At 37.6% G+C, this 18,098-nt stretch overlaps 1 protein-coding gene across 33 annotated transcripts in view; it reads right to left on the reverse strand.

The window, feature by feature from the left end:
* Positions 1–18,098, reverse strand: part of KIAA0825 — a 467,754-nt gene that overhangs the window by 446,514 nt on the left and 3,142 nt on the right. For 4 of the 33 annotated variants that reach the window (NM_001385712.1, NM_001385728.1, NM_001385722.1 and 1 more), the window contains exon 2: positions 14,457–14,573. The exons of 22 other annotated variants lie outside the window; for them this stretch is intronic. The gene's annotated coding sequence lies outside the window, so the exon portion shown is untranslated. Of the gene's footprint in view, positions 1–1,100; positions 1,189–5,202; positions 5,355–13,322; positions 13,397–14,456; positions 14,578–18,098 lie in introns of those variants that run through there. 7 more of the 33 variants (NM_001385720.1, NM_001385715.1, NM_001385721.1 and 4 more) reach the window with 6 other exon arrangements.

Consider the following 18,098-nt stretch of genomic DNA (forward strand, 5'->3'; position numbering starts at 1 on the left):
AAATCTGGGAAAACCCTCAATATTTGGAAGTTAAAGAGCACACTCCTAAATAACCAATGCACCAAAAAAAGTGACAGCAGTATAAGAAAATATATTTTACTGAATTAAAGAAAAAACACAATATTACACATTTCATATGATGCATAAAAGTGTTTGAAAGTAATTAATAGCTCTTTCAGGAAACAAAGGAAAGAAACCTTTCCAAGACATTCTACAATGACAGTACTACCCTGATATCCAAGACAAACATATCCCATTCTGTATATAGTCATGTGTCACTTAAAGATGGTGATACATTCTGAGAAGTGCATCATTAGGCAATTTTTTCATTGTATGAACATCATACAGTGTACCTACACAAACATCAATGGTATAGCCTACTATATACCTAGGCTATAATGGTATTGCTTACAGCTCCTGGGCTACAAACTGTTACAGCATATGACTGTACTAAATATTGCAGGCAATTGTAACACAATGGTAAGTATTTGTGTATCTAAACATAGAAAAGGTATGGTAAAAATATAGTATAAAAGACAAAAAAATGGTACACTGGTATATGGCACTTATCATTCATGGAGCTTATAGGACTGGAAGTTGCTTTGGGTGAGTCAGTGAATGGTGAGTGAATGTGAAGGCCTAGGACATTACTGAACACTACTGTAGACTTTATTAACCACTGTACACTTAGGCTACACTATATTTGTAAAAAGTATTTTTCTTTTGTCAATAATAAATTAACCTTAGCTTACTGTAACTTTTTTACTTTATAAACTTAAAATTATTTTTTTACTTTTGTGTAATAACAGTTAGCATAAAACACAATGTACAAAATATTTACCTTTATAGCCTTATTCTATAAGTTTTTAAAAAATATTTTAAGACTTTTTTTAATGTTTGAAACTATTTTGTTAAAAAATAAGAAACACACACACATATTAGCCTAGGCCTACACAGGGTCAGGGTGATCAATATCACAGACTTCCACCTCCACATTTTGTCTCCCTGGAAGGTTTTCATGGGCAATAACAAGCATAGGGAGTATAACAATGCCTTTTTCTGAAATATTCTATAACAATGCTTTTTTTCTGGAATATTACCTGAAGGACTTGCTTGAAGCTGTTTTACAGGGAAGCTGTTAACTGTTTTACAGTTAACAGTCTTTTTTATAAGTAGAAGAAGAATATGCTAAAATAATAATGAAATATATAGTAAATACATAAACCAGTAACACAGTCATTTATTATCATTATCAACTATTATGCACTGTATGCTTTGTACATAATTATATTTTTATAAAACTGGTAGGTTTGTGTACACCAGCATTATCACAAACACAAGTAATGCATTACACTACATATGACAGCTATGATATTACTGGGCAAAAGGAATTTTTCAGATCCATGATAATCATATGGGACCACTATCATATTTGTGGTCTTTAGTTGACCAAAATGTCGTTATGTGGCACATGACTGTATACCACACTTTATTTATCCATTCATTTGCTGATAGACGTTTAGGTTGATTTCATATCTTGGCTATTGTGAATAGTGCTGCAATAAACATGGGGGTGAAGGTATTTCATCAATATACTGATTTCCTTTCCTTTAGATGAATACTCAGTAGAGGGACAGCTGGATCATATGGTAGTTCTATTTTCAGTTTTTCTTTTTAGAAAGCTGAATACTGTTTTCTATCATGATTGTACTAACTTATATTCCCACCAACAGTATGTAAGAGTTCTCTTTTCTGTGCATCTTTGATAGCATTTGGTATTTTTTGTCTTTTTAATAATAGCCATCCTAACTGGGATTAGAAGCTACCTCATTGTGATTTTGATTTGCATTTCCCTGATGACTAGTGGTGTTGAGCATGTTTTCATATACTTATTGGGCATTTGTATAACTTCTTTTGAGAAATGCCTATTCAGATCCTGTGCCTATTTTAAAATCTGATTATTTGGGTTTTTTTTTTTTTTTTTTTTGCTATGGAGTTTCTTGTATTTCAACTGATTTTTGATGAGGGTTCCATGAAAAGTTAACAGGGAAAATATTAGTCTTCTCAAAAAATGTTGCTGAGACACTAAATATCAACATACAAAGAATTATACTTGGACTCTTTCCTCACAAGATATTAAAAAAAAACTCAAAGTTGATCAAAAACTTTAAGAACTAAAATGCAAAAATTCTTAGAACAAATCAAAGGTGGAAATCTTCTTGACACTGGAGTAGGCAATGGTTTCTTAATGTAATACCAAAAGCAGAATCAACAAAAGAAAAAAATTGATAAATTGGACTGCATTAAAATTCAAAACTGCTGTGTTTCAAAGATTATCCACAAAGTGAAAAGACAACCTATGGAATAGGAGAAAATATATGCAAATCATGTATCCCAGAATACATAAAGCACTAGTACAAAATCTTCACAGCATTCTCTGCCCCAGTAAGACTGCAGGAGGCAATGGAATGCCGCAGAGGTTTTGGAGCTCAGAGGAATGTAATCTGATTTAGGTTTTAGCAAGTTTACTATGAAACTCTAGATTAAGATCAATACTGTCATGTGTTGTCCACCCCCCCAAAAAAAAGGGGGGAACTAGTACAACTAAACAATACAAAGATAAATAACTCAATTTTAAAATGGCCAAGAATTTGAATATATATTTCTCCGAGGAAGACATATAAATGGCCAATAAGTACATGAAAAAATGTTTAACATCATTAGAGAAATGCAAATTGAGACCACATGAGATATCAGCTGGGTTTTTAAAATAGGAATTGCATTAAATCTGTAGATTAATTTGGGGAAGTATTGCCACTTCACAACTCACTAGAACGTCTATAATCAAAAGACAAAAATAACAAGTGATGGGAGAATGTGGAGAAATTGAAACCCTCATACACAGCTGATGAATTATAAACATTTCTTCCCTGTCCCATCAGTGGGGATATTTCCTTAATAGCATATTATATTCCTTATATTTCCTTATATAGTTTCATATATATATTCCTTATATTTCCTTATATTTATATTTCCTTACATATATTATATTCCTTATATTTCCTTATATATTTCCTTATGTGTATATATATATTCCTTATATTTCCTTAATACCTTAATGTATTTTATAATCATTTTTGTCATCTCAGTAAACTGAAAACACATAAAGAGAAGGATTATGTCTCTTTCTTTCTCCAATATATATTTAGTATTACCACCATAACTTGATTATGCCTCTGTTAGGGTGCTGGTCACTCTGTGCTGTCTGCCATCACTGATTCACTTACCTCTCTGTGTTAATCTGTTTACATTTCTATAAAGGAATACTTGAGGCTGCTTGGACAACTCAGCCATTCTAGTCTGTGGGCTTAAGAGAGTCCAAACCACCTGGGAGTGGAAGTAGTACCACAGCACCACATAGCTACTCTACAAAAGTGTGACCAGATTGCTTCCTTAAGTGGGTCCCCAATCTGTTTCTCCTCACTGGATGGGACTTCCTAAATGGGGGACTCCAGCCACTCCCACTGACATTCTCTAGCCCACAGAGGTTTGAAAATTTCCTGGGAAAGAGTTTCTAGAGGGAGGGGTTGGCCGCCATCTTTGCTGTTTCAGCAACTTAGGTGTTTCAGCAACTTAGCTATTCCAGCCTCTAGGCTTCAGAAAGCCCAACCTGATGCGGGGGCAGAAAGAGTACCGCAGCACAGCATGGCTGCTCTACTAAAGTAGAGCAGATCCCCATGATCCTGTTCCTCCTGGCTGGATGACCCCAACTGGGGTCTCCAATTACCTCCTGCATGTACATTTGGGCCAATAACAGGTCTGTACCCCTTGGGACAAAGCTCCCAGAGGTAGCGGTAGGCTGCCATCTTTACTATTTCACAGCCTTCACTGGTGATACCTCCAGATACTGGAAGATCTGAGGCAACTAGGGACTGGAGCAGATGCCCAGCAAACTGCAGCAGCGCTATGGGAAAGTGGTCAGACTCTTAAAAAAGAAAACAGCAACAACGAAAAAACCCCAAACCCCATCCAAAGGTCAGCAACCTCAAAGAATAAAGGTAGATAAAGCCCACAAAGATGAGAATCAGTACAAGAATGCTGAAAACTCAAAAAAAGCCAGAGTGCATTCTCTCCTTCAAATGACCACATCACCTTTCCAGCAAGGTTTTGGAAAGGGGCTGAGGCTGATATGGCTGAACAGAAGTAGACCTCAGAATGTAGATAAAAACAAACCACTGAGCTAAAGGAGCATGTCTTAAATCAATGCAAGAAAGCTAAAAATCACAATAAAACATTGCAGGAGCTGACAAAATATCCAGGACAGAGGATATAACTGACCGGATAGAACTGAAAAACACCATACAACAATTTCATAATGCAATCACAAGTATTAATAGCAGAATACTCCAACAGGAGGAAAGAATCTCAGAACTTGAAAACTGTCTTTCTGAAAGAGGACAGGTAGACAAGAACAGAGAAAAAAAGAATAAAAAGGAATGAACAAAATTTCCGAGAAATATGGGGTTACGTAAAAAGATCAAATCTATGACTGACTGGTGTACCTGAAAGAACTGAGGCGAATGGAACCAATTTGGAAAACATATTTCAGGATATCATCCATGAGAACTTCCACAACCTTGCTAGATAGGCCAACATTCAAATTCAGGAAATGCAGAGAACCCTGCTAAGATATTCCATGAGAAGGCTGGGCGAGGTGGCTCACGCCTATAATCCCAGCACTTTGGGAGGCCAAGGCAGGCGGATCATGAGGTCAGGAGATCAAGACTATCCTGGCTAACATGGTGAAACCTCATCTCTATTAAAAATACAAAAAAAATTAGCCAGGTGTGGTAGCGGGCACCTGTAGTCCCAGCTACTCGGGAGGCTGAGGCAGGAGAATGGCGTGAACCTGGGAGGCGGAGCTTGCAGTGAGCCGAGATCGTGCCACTGCACTCCAGCCTGGGCAACTTAGCAAGACTCTGTCTCAAAGAAAAAAAAAAAAGATATTCCATGAGAAGATCTTCCCCAAGACACATAATCATCAGGTTCTTCAAGGTGGAAATGGAAGAAAAATTGTTAAGGGCAGTGATATAGTTTGGCTGTGTCCCCATCCAAATCTCATCTTGAATTGTAGTTCTCGTAATCCCAACGTGTTGTTGAGAGGAACCCTCTGGGAAGTAATTGAATCAAGGGAGTGCTTACCCTCATGCTGTTCTCATGATAGTGAGTGAGTTCTCACAAGATCTGATGGTTTTATAACGGGCTTCCCTCTTCACTTGGCTCTCATCTCTCTCCTGCTGCCTTGTGAAAGAGGAAGTGTTTGCTTCACCTTCCATTCTTCCCTCTCCTGCTGCCTTGTGAAAAAAGAAGTGTTTGTTTCACCTTCCACCATGAGTGTAAGTTTCCTGAGGAACTGTGAGTCAATTAAACCTCCTCCCTTTGTAAATTGCCCAATCTCGGGTATGCCTTTTTTTTTTTTTTTGAGACAGAGTCTCACTTTGTCACCCAGGCTGGAGTGCAGTGGCATGATCTCAGCTCACTGCAACCTCTGCCACCCGGGTTCAAGTGATTCTCCCACCTCAGCCTCCCAAGTAGTTGGGATTACAGGTGCCTGCCATTGCGTCAGGCTAATTTTTGTAATTTTAGTAGAGATGGGGTTTCACCATCTTGGCCAGGCTGGTCTTGAACTCCTGACCTCATGATCTACCTGCCTCGGCTTCCCAAAGTGCTGGGATTACAGGTGTGAGCCACTGCATCTGGCCTCGGGTATGTCCTTATAGCAGCATGAAAATTGACTAATATAGGCAGCATGAGAGAAAAGTCACTTATAAAGGGAAGCCCATGAAACTAATAGTGAACCTCTTAGAAGAAACCCTGCAAGCCAGAAGATACTGGGGGCCAATATTTAGCATTCTTAAAGAAAAGCAATTCCAACCCAGAATTTTGTATCCGGCCAAACTAAGCTTCATAAATGAAGGAGAAATAAGATCATTTTCAGACAAGCAAATGCTGAGGAAATTTGTTACCACCATACCTGCCTTACAAGAGCTACTGAAAGAAGCACTAAATGTAAAAAGGAAAAAATACTACCAGACATTACAAAAACACACTAACGTACACAGACCAATGACACTATGAAACAACCACATAAGAAGTGTGCATAATAACCAGCTAGCATCAAGATGACAGGATCAAATTCACATATAACAATATCAACCTTAAATGTAAATGGGATAAATGCCCCAATTAAAAGACATAAGAGTGGCAAGCTGAATAAAGAACCAAGACCCAATTGTATGCTGCCTGCAAGAAACCCATCTCACATGCGATGACACACATAGGGTCAAAATAAAGGGATGGAGAGAAATTTACCAAGCAAATGGAAAACAGAAAAAAGCAGGTGTTGCAATCCTAGTTTCTGACAAAAGAGACTTCAAACGAACAAAGATTAAAAAATGACAAAGAAGGACATTACATAATGGTAAAGGGTTCGATTCAATAAGAAGAGCTAAATACCCTGAATATATATGCAACCAACAAAGGAGCACCCAGATTCATAAAGCAAGTACTTAGAGACCTTCAAAGAGACTTAGACTCTTACACAATAATAAATGAGAGACTTTAATACCCCATTGACAATGTTAGATAGATGAACAAGACAGAAAATTAACAAAGATATTTAGGACCTGAACTCAGCTCTGGATCAAATAAACCTGATAGATATCTACAGAACTCTCCATTCAAACACAACAGAATCATACATTCTTCTCATTGCCACATAGCACTTACTCTAAAATTGATCACATAATCAGAAGTAAAACACTCCTCAGTGAATGCAAAAAAAATTGCAATCATAACAGTCTCTCAAACCACAGCACAATCAAATTAGAACTCAAGACTAAAAAATTCACTTATGGTGGTTCATGCCTGTAATCCCAGCACTTTGGGAGGCCAAGATGGGTGGATCTCCTGAGGTCAGGAATTGAGAGTTTGAGACCAGCCTGGCCAACATGGCGAAACCCTGTCTCTAGTAAAAATATGAAAATTAGCTGGGCATGGTGATGGGCACCTTTAATCCTGGCCACTTGGGAGGCAAAGGCAGGAAAATCACTTGAACCCAGGAAGCGGAGGTTGCAGTGAGCTGAGATTGCACCACTGCACTCCAGCCTGGGCGACAGAATGAGACTCCATCTCAAAAACAAACAAACAAACAAACAAACAAACAAAAAACACTCAAAAATGATACAATTACATGGAAATTGAGTAACATGTTCCTGAATGACTTTTGAGTAAATAATGAAATAAAGGCAGAAATCAAAAAGTTTTTTGAAACTAAGAACAAAGATACAATGTATTAGAATCTCTGGGACACAGTTAAGACAGTGTTAAGAGGGAAATTTATAGCACTAAATGCCTACATCAAAAAGCTAGAAAGATCTCAAGTTAACAAGCTAACATTACAATTAAAAGAACTAGAGAACCTAAAGCAGACAAATCCCAAAGCTAGCAGAAGACAAGAAATAACCAAAATAAGGGCTGAACTGAAGGAGATAGAGACAAGAAAAGAAGCCATTTAAAAGATCAACAAATCCAGGAGCTGGATTTCAAAAAAATTAAAAAAATAGATAGACGGCTAGCTGGATTAATGAAGAAGAAAAGAGGGAAGATTACAAACACAATCAGAAATAACAAACACAATCAGGAATAATAAGAGGGACATTACCACTGACTACACAGAAATAAAAACAACCATCAGAGAATATTATAAACACCTCTATGTAAATGAACTAGAACATCTAGAAGAAATGGATACATTCCTGGAGACATACATCCTCTCATGACTGAACCAGGAAAAAATTAAATCCCTGAACAGAACAATAAGAAGTTCTGAAATTGAAGCAGTAATAAATAGCTTACCAACCAAAAAAAGCCCAGAACCAGATGGATTCACAGGTGTATTCTACCAGATGTACAAACAAGAGCTGGTATCACTTCTACTAAAACTATTTCAAAAAATTGAAAAGGAGGTACTCCTTCCTAACTCATTCTATGAGGCCAGCATCATCCTGATACCAAAACCTGACAGAGACACAGCAAAAAAAGAAAACTTCAGGCCAATATTCTAGCTGAACATCAGTGCAAAAATCATCAAAAAAATACTTGCAAACTGAATCTAGCAGCACATCAAAAAGCTTATGAAACCTGATAAACTAGGCTTCATTCCCAGGATGCAAGGTTGGTTCAACATACTCAACTCAATAAATGTGATTCACCAAATAAACAGATGTAAAGACAAAAACCACATGATTATCTCAATAGATGCAGAAAAGGCTTTTGATAACATTCAACATCCCTTCATGTTAAAAACTCTCAATAAACAAGGTATTGAAGGAACATACCTCAAAATAATAAGAGCTATCTATGACAAACCCACAGCCTACATTATACTGAATGGGCAAAAGCTGGAAGCAGTTTCCCCTTGAAAACTGGCATGAGGATGCCCTCTCTCGCCACTTCCATTCAACATAGTATCAAAAGTCCTAGCCAGAGCAATCAGAGAAGAGAAAGAAATAAAGGGCTTCCAAATAGGAACAGAGGAAGTCAAACTATCTGTTTGCGGATGACATGATTCTATATCTAGAAAACCCCATAGTCTTAGCCCAAAGGCTCCTTCAGCTGATAAACAACTTCAGCAAAGTTTCAGGATACAAAATCATACAAAAATCACTAGCATTCCTATATACCAACAACAACCAAACTGAGAGCCAAATCAGAAAGGCCATCCCATTCACAAATGCCACAAAAATAAAATACCTAAAAATACAGTTAACCAAGGAGGTGAAAGATCTCTACAATGAGAATTACAAAACACTCCTCAAAGAAATTAGAGAAAACACAAACAAATGGAAAAACATCCCATGCTCATGGATAGAAAGAATCAATATCATTAAAATGGCTACATTGCCCAAAGTAATTTATAGATTCAATGCTATTCCTATCAAACCACCAATGACATTCTTCACAGAACTAGAACAAATTATTTTAAAACTTATATGGAACTAAAAAAGAGCCTGAATAACCAAGGTAATCCTAAACAGAAACAACAAAGCTGGAGGAACGGTGTTACCTAACTTCAAACTACACTACAAGGCAACAGTGACCAAAACAACTTGGTATTGGTACAAAAACAGGCACACAGACCAAAGGAACAGAATAGGGAGCCCATATCAGAAATAAGGCCGCATATCTACAACTATGTGATTTTTGACAAAGAAACTATCAATAGAGTAAACAGATAACCTACAGAATGGGAGAAAATATTTGGAAACTATGTATCTGACAAAGATCTAATATTCAGCATCTAAAGGGACTTAAAGAAATTTACCAGAGAAAAACAAACAAACATATTAAAGTGGGGGCTCGTGGTTCTGCAGGCTGTACAAGCACAGTGCCAGCATCTGCTCAGCTTCTGGTGAGGCCTCAGGAGGCTTACAGTCATGGCAGAGGGCAAAGCAAGAACCTGTGTATCACATGCAAGACAGGGGTCAAGAAACAGGAGGAGGTACCAGTCTCTTTTAAACAACCAGCTCTCAAGTGAATTCATTACTACATGGAGGGCACCAAGCCATTCATGAGGGACCTGCCACCATGATCCAAACACCTCCCAATAGGAGGGGACAAATGTCCAAACCATATCACTTTCTCAACCACTAGACTATATAATCTTCTTAAAACAAGACTATACCTTCTTAACTTTTATATCCCATTTCCCAGGCTAGTGGCTGGCACATAGAAAGTATGAAGTTATATACGAGATCCCAAAGTATAATCTACAAACTTCTGAAGGAATCCTGATACTCCTTCAGGTGGTGTGCAAGGTCAAAACTATTTTTATAACAACAAAACATTATATGTCATTTTTGCTATATTGACATTTGCACTAAAAGTGCAAAATCTGTGACACTTTAGGAAATCAGGCTGGGTGCGGTGGCTCATGCCTGTAATCCCAACATTTTGGGAGGCTGAGGTAGGTGGATCACCTGAGGTCAGGAGTTGAAGACCAGCCTGGCCAACCCTCTACTAAAAATACAAAAATTATCTGTGCCTGGTGGCAGGTACCTATAATCCCAGCTACTCAGGAGGCGGAGGCAGGAGAATAGCTTGAACCCACGAGACGGAGGTTGTAGTGAGCCAAGATCATGCCACTGCCTTCTACCCTGGGTGACACAGCAAGTGTCCGTCTCCAAAACAAACAAACAAACAAACAAACAAAAAACAAGAAGTTATATTAGTTTTCTATTGCTGCTATAATAAATCACCACAAATTTATCGGCATAAAAACACAAAATTATTATCTTACAGTTGTCTAGGTCAGAAGTCTGAAACAGGCCTCACAAAGCTAAGATCAAGTAGTGAGCGGAGCTTCATTCCTTTTTGGAGATTTTGGGGATAAATCATTGTTTCTTTTGCATGTTCCAGCTTTAGAGGCTGCCCTCATTCCTTGACTTGTGGCCCACTTCCTCCATTTTCTAGCTAGCTATATGGATTGAGTCTTTTTCCCACTGCATTATTCAGATTTCTTTTTCTCCTCCCTCTTCCACTTTTGAGAACCCTTGTAATTACATTGAGACAACTTGGATAATCCAAGATAATCTCACTATATTAAGGTAAACTGATTGGCAACCTTAATTCCATTTGTAACCTTAATTCCCCTTGGCCATGTAACATAACATAGTCTCAGGTTCTACGTATTAGGATGTAGGTATCTCATGGGGGCCATTATCCTGCCTACCACAGTACTCATTGTATTTTTTTCACCATTACACACTCAGAATAATGCCAGGTTTGCTTATGTCTTCGATAGGAAGTAAAAATTACTTTTATTTTTATTTATTTATTTGTTTATTTATTTATTGAGATAGAGTCTCACTCTGTTGCCTAGGAGGGAGTGCAGTGCTGCAATATCCGCTCACTGCAACCTCTACCTCCCAAGTTCAAGTGATTCTCATGCCTCAGCCTCCCAAGTAACTGGGACTACAGGTGTGTGCCACCACACCTGGCTAATTTTGTGTGTGTATGTGTGTGTGTATATATATATATTATATATATAATATATATATATATATAATTATATATATATATATTTTTTTTTAGAGATGGGGTTTCACCCTGTTGGCCAGGCTGTTCTTGAATTCTTGACTTCAAGTGATCTACCCATCTCTGCCTCCCAAAGTACTGGGATTACAGGCCTGAGCCACTGCACCTGGCCAAAAATTAGTATTAATACTTTGATTAACCTTTGTATACACTACATATTTTCTCAAAATTAATCAAATTGGGCTGTAACTTCAATGAAAACATCAGACCGTATTTGTTGCCAATGATAAAATTTGAGCTTTCCAAGCAAAAATTAGAATTTTGGAAAATTTGTATACTGTCAGATGGACAGTTTTCCAATACTACAAGAGTCTCCTGATGAGACTACTGGTGATATTAACTAATGGGAATTTTTAACGTTGTATAATGAAATCTATTAAGATTTGGAAAATCAGCATACCTCAATGAATCAATATTTTCCAAAAGGCTGGTATATTATGTAACAGAATTATGTATTTGTAAAAGATTTATTAAAAGTACAAAATAGACCAAGGGATTTTTAAAGTAATAGTGTACCAAAAATAAACTGATATGATTTCAGATTCTACACTGCAACTAAATTTTAATAAAATTCCACTTGTTAAATTTTGGTGATCAAAGAAGAATATTCACAATTATCTGAAAAAGCCATTTAAATAACTCTCTTCTTTTCCAACTACATACATGTGTAAGGTTGGATTTTGCTTATTACTTCAACCAAAACAATATATCACCAAAGACTGAATGCAGGAGCAGATCTGAAATTCAGCTCTCTTTTATTAAGCCAGACATTGAAGAGACATTGCAAAATATAAAACAATACCACTCTTCCACTAAAATTTTTGTTTTGAAAAATATAGCTTTTTTTTAAAGCTGTTTTTGTTAACATGTAGTGGTTTGTTTAAATATTGTCAAAAATATTTCATTTTAATTTATAATACAAAAAATATAAGTAGATATAATTACATAAATAGAAACTTTCTGAGGTCTTCAGTAATTTTTAAGAGTATAAAAGAGGTCTTCAGTAATTTTTAAGATTACTGAGACCAAAAGTTTGATAACTGCTGAGTTAGACAAATGAGAAAGCCCTAGAAAGATAATTACCAAGTAAAGTTAATCAAAAGAATAAGCACTGGCAGCACTAAAAGATACCAGAGTACAGAAAGCAACATATAAACTGAGCCTACGGGAGGCTGAGGCAGGAGTGGGAGGCCGAGGCAGGAGAATTGCTTGAACCTGGAAGGTGGAGGTTGCAGTCAGCCAAGATTGTGCCACTGCACTCCAGCCTGGGCAAGAGAGCCAGATTTCATCTCAAAAAAGAAAGAAAAGAAAGCAACATAGAAACAGAGCCTAGAAGGTCCCCATTTACAACCAGCCCCACTCCTAAATTCCTTCCCAGTGAAAGCTCTTAACAGTAGAGGACAGACTGGATCACCTTGGAAGAACTGAACTGCCATGAGCATTTCCGATGGCTAGCATGAATATATGCTAGAGAAGGAAAGAATTATATATCTGAAAAAATTTAAAGGAATACATTGTTATGTGATTATACACAAAACTTGCATTTTTAAAATGAAAAATATTTGATGAGCTAAAGTTTGAAAAGTCAAGGAGGACGGGTAAAGAAATGTCATGACAGCTGGGCATGGTGGCTCACATCTGTAATACCAGCACTTTGGGAGGCCAAGGCGAGTGGATCACTTGAGGTCAGGAGTTCGAGACCAGCCTGGCCAACATGGTGAAACCCCATCTCTACTAAAAATACAAAAATTAGCTGGGCATGGTGGCACATGCCTGTAATCCCAGCTACTCAGGAGGCTGAGACAATGAGAATTGCTTGAACCTGGGAGGTGGAGGTTGCAGTGAGCTGAGATTGCGCCACTGGATTCCAGCCTTCCAGCCTGGGTGACAGAGCAAGACTGTCTCAAAAAAAAAAAAAAGAAAAAGAAAAAGAAAAGAAAAAAGAAAAGTCATGACATAGGGCTGGGCACGGTGGCTCACACCTGTAATCCTAGCACTTTGGGAGGCTGAGGCAGGCAGATTGCCTGAGCTCAGAGTTCAAGACCAGCCTGGGCAACATGGTGAAACCCTATCTCTACTAAAATACAAAAAAAATTAGCTGGGCATGGACTGTGTGCCTGTAGTCCCAGCTACTCGGGAGGCTGAGACAGGAGAATTGCTTGAACCTGGGAGGCGGAGGTTGCAGTGAGCCGAGATCCTTCCACTGCACTCCAGCCTGGGTGACAGAGCGAGACTCTATCTGCAAAAAAAAAAAAAAAAAAAAAAGTATATATATATATATATATAAATAAAAAGATTAAAAAAAAAGTCATGACACAGTGAAGCACAAAATACTCGTCTATATTACAAAAATTCAGACCTCATCAGTATAACGCTCTTCAAAATGAGTTCCTATCACTGCTCAGTTTAAACTCCTTAAAGTGTTGAATTAGCTGTGCTCCCTGGAAGGAAAATGGACAGTAAACTGGTGGTGTGGCATGACTGCTAGTTGCTAGAAACAACTGCAGCTGTACAACCTCCCTGATACACCATGGCTAAAGTCAGGGAAGTGTCTTTTAGTAAATCTTAGCAAACAAATAACAAAAGTGACAGAAAAGCACTATCATATCACCCAACTGGAATAACTGTATGCCCTACTAATAGCACAAAAAAGAAGCCTTTTCCAGGAAGCATGATAAAAAGAAAAAGCCCTAAATTTAGATTCTTAAGACCTAGCCTCTGGTTCAAGTCACATGTTTCCTGAGTTATCCATTATGTTAAATCGCCTCTTTAATCTTCATTTCCTCGTGTATGATAGTTAATCTAAATCAGTTGTTTTCAAATTCAGCTGTTTCCCAATAACAAATACATTTTATATCCCCAATCCTGAAACCACCATGTATCTGAAACAAAAATACAGGCTATGACTAACCAAATTGATGGCTTATAACCTGCCATTTGAAAAGCACTAAACTTATGGATCTCTACGTTTACTTATTAAAAATGACAAAAAGGTGGTGGGGGCTGGGGGGAAGGATCCTATGAAACTATATTTTTACCTTTGTGGCTACAGAGGTATCTTTGGTAAAGATGCAAATAGACATTCAAGTTTTAGGCTAATATTCTAACCATGGATCCCAAAGTGCTGGGATTACAGGCATGAGGCTGGGCATGGTGCCTCATGCCTGTAATCCCAGCACTTTGGGAGGCCAAGGCAGGAGGATTGCTTCAGTACAGGAGTTTGAGACCAGGGTGGGCAACACAGTGAGACCCTGTCTGCACAAAAAAATTAAAAAATTTTTTTACATAGTGGTGCATACCTGTAGCCCCAGCTACTTGGGAGGCTGAGGTGGGAGGATCCCTTGAGCCCAGGAATTCAAGGTTGCAGTGAGCTGTGATGTACCACTGTATTCCAGGCTGGGTGACAGAGTGAGACTCTGTCTCAGAAACAAACAAACAAACAAAAAAAGATTTACACTATATTTATAGGCTACCTGAATTTAGAAATTTAGACAATAGTGTGTTTAACCACATGATGCCAAAAATCAGTTGTTTAGCTAATGTTTGCATTTCTAAACTGTTACTGGGAACAGATGTTTTGATTCCTAACTGTTCTGGCTAACAAAACCGTATTATAAAATATAAGAAGATAGTGTAAGAACATATGACCCAAATGTTAGTATCAATGTCTGGCAGTAGGGATTATACTTTTCTTGAGGGCAGGAGGGGGTGGCACAGGGAGTAAAATTCAAGATTTGAAATTCAAATGTATTTGTAAGTTTTAGCAGATGACAACTGTTGATCATTTTTACTAATACCTAACATTGAATACCGTGGCAACATGGGATTCCTCTAATACATGACTTTGGCTTTTGGACTCTGCACTGGCCTAATTGAAGCTTTCTTAGAAGAGTGTAGCACTTTGATATTCTTACTCAACTCTTCTTTCTTCCTTCCTTCTCTTCTTTTTAGGCTGTCAGACGTGCATTGAGGCCTGAAGGCATTTCTTTCCTACTCTCACTCTCCTTCATTCTTCACAAGCAGTCTCCCCAATAAACATCTTGTACATCTTACCTCCTCTTGGCATCTGCTTTTTGGAGAATTTGAACAAATAAAGTGCCTTACTACACCAGGCACCATATTAAACTCTATACATGCATTATTTTATTTAATCTTCACAAAAGGCCTATGAAGACATCATCATTCCCATTTTACAAATAATGAAACAGTGGAAAAGTAACTTTCACACTGTCACACAACTGTGACTGTCACACAACTGTGACAGAGTTGGGATTCAAATCCAAGTCTGTTTGACTTCATAGTTAGAGCCACAGACCCTAATTTAAAACAGTGAGTTTATTAAAAACAAAACAAAACTAGAGACCTTAATAATTTTTTTCTGATGCTTGTGTACCTACACACAGTATTACATTTAATCCTAGTAAAGTTGATAGTATTACTTTACAGATGAAGAAATTGTGGCTCAGGGAATTTAAGTAACTTCTTCAAGGCTATCATTATATGTTCATGAGTTTAAGCTCAACCCCAGGTCCTCTCTGAATTCAGTTGTTTACATTATACTGCATTGCCTAATTAGTCAAAATGACATTGTCTCGTTTTGAACTTTTATAGTTGTTAAAACTTTTTATATGGGATGTATGTATTTCAAGGGATGCACTAAAGTTTGACCTTGTCCTCTGTATTTTTTTTGAGAGAGAATCCTTCACTCTGTCACCCAGGTTGGAGTGCGGTGACATGATCTCGGTTCACTGCAACATCCACCACCCGGGGTTCAAGTGATTCTCTTGCCTTAGACTCCAGGAGTAGCTGGGATTACATGTGCCCACGACCACACCCAGCTAATTTTTGTATTTTTTTGGTAGAGATGGGGTTTTACCATGTAGGTCAGGCTGGTCTCGGACTCCTTGTCTCAAGAGATCCGCCCGCATTGGCCTCCCAAAGTGCTGGGATTACAGGCATGAGTCACTGCGCCGGCCAATCTTGTCTTCTGTATTTTAACAAAGTCTGCATTTGGCTTTAGTGTTGGCTTTTAGAAAGTAAATAGTCAAAAAGGCCAGGTGCAGTACCTGTCATAAAAGTACTCAATCTAGGGAGGTCAGTAGGGGCTGAATCCAACCCATACTTTGTTGGCCCAGCCATGTGTCCCTGCAGGGCTGTTGCCATAGAGAAAAAGATGCCTTTTTCCAATCCTTACAAAAGTAGCATCAGTTACACAGTGTATATCCAAGAGTTATGGATCCTCCAGAAGGGGGTGCCCTTTTCTAATCATACAAGGTGCTATAAGGGCTAGCTGTGAGTCAGGAGGACAACGAGGTGAGAGGGAGGCTAACGCCTCATTATATACCCTTTCATACCTTATGAATTTTGCACCAAGTTTCAATTAAAAATTTGATTAATATGGCAATACATGTAAGTATTATATGTGTTCATATCCTGTGGGTGACCATTTCTCCTTCTACAAATTGTAATAAGAAAATAGATACGAATATGTCTAAATATTTTACTATAAAAACCTTTATTGTACTATTACTTAACAGAAAGAAGTCAGTTTAAAAGTTATAACATATTCATAAAATTGAATAGCATACAGGCCCTAAGTATTATTTTATAGAAGCAAATTTATTGACATGGAAAAATTCATGGTATAGCACATTGAAAAAAGCAGGTCACAAGACAATATAGACAGTATTATTTCATTTTTATTTTAAAAGCACATATATGCAAATCTGTAATACAGAGAAAAATCATAAGTTATTTCTGAGTGGTGGGGTCATGGGCCACTCTTCCTTTCTCTTTCCTTTTTGGCATATTTGTACACTCTAATGTTTCTGTAACAAATGGGCGTTTTTCCATAACAAAGAAAACAAATGCCAACTCCATCCTCCACCCCATCCTAGTTATACACACAGATTATTGCTTATCGTTAAAAGCCTAACATCTCTAACTTGCCCACAGTTATCTACAGCTTGTCCTAAACTCAGCTTTTTACCTCAGCTTTATTACCAGCCTTCATCCATCTTACATAGCCAAAGTGACCTAGGTACTATTTCTGTTTTCTGACACCTTTGCATCTTCCAGTAGAACACTTGTCCCTCTTGTTCCCCTGCCAAAATCCTTTCCATCCTATATGGCACAAACTCAATATTACCTTTTTTATGAGGTCTTTCCTCATCTGCCCTCCTGGAAAAAAAAAAATCTCTTTTCTTTGCATTCCCATGTTTTGTGTTCAATGATGTATGTAAATTGCCCTACATATAATTATTTGTTTATATAACTTTCTCTCTCCTAGTAGACTGTAAGTGAAAATATTCTTCACCTTTGTCTAATTTATAAAGCATTTTTCATATCCACTAATCTTTTATCCTTGCAAGACTGAGCAAGAAAAAGAATCAATATTTATTTATCAGCAATTGTGTATCAGACAACACGTTTGAGGCTTTATAAGTCAACCCACTTAACGCTCACAGCAATCCTATGGATCCATTTTACATATGAAAACATAAGCTCACAAAGGTTCAGTGACTTATTAGTGTCATAGCTGGTAAAAAAAAAAAAAAAAGCATGGCTGTGATTTTTTTAACTCTATTCTTCCTATTGCAAAAACATGATTGTGTGTCCACCAATGTGGAAGACGTGAACACATATAAAAGCTTACATAAAACACATCAAAATTGATGAGGGTTTTCTGGCACTCCAGAACTGCTATATTCAGATAATACTTAGGAGTCAACTAAAGTCAGAGGATTTTTGAGGTAGGAGGGACCTTACAGATAATATAATCCATCAAACTCCTATATGTTATAGATGAGAAACATGATACCCAGAGCTTTTGCACACATTTAGCAGCTGAACCAGGATTAAAAATTCAACTGGAGGCTAGCAAAGTGGTTAAGATTATCGCTTTTGGGATCAGAGCCCTTCATTCAAATCATAGCTGTGTT

This window comes from Homo sapiens, chromosome 5, assembly GCF_000001405.40.
Source record: "Homo sapiens chromosome 5, GRCh38.p14 Primary Assembly".
Taxonomy (NCBI): Eukaryota; Metazoa; Chordata; class Mammalia; order Primates; family Hominidae; genus Homo; species Homo sapiens.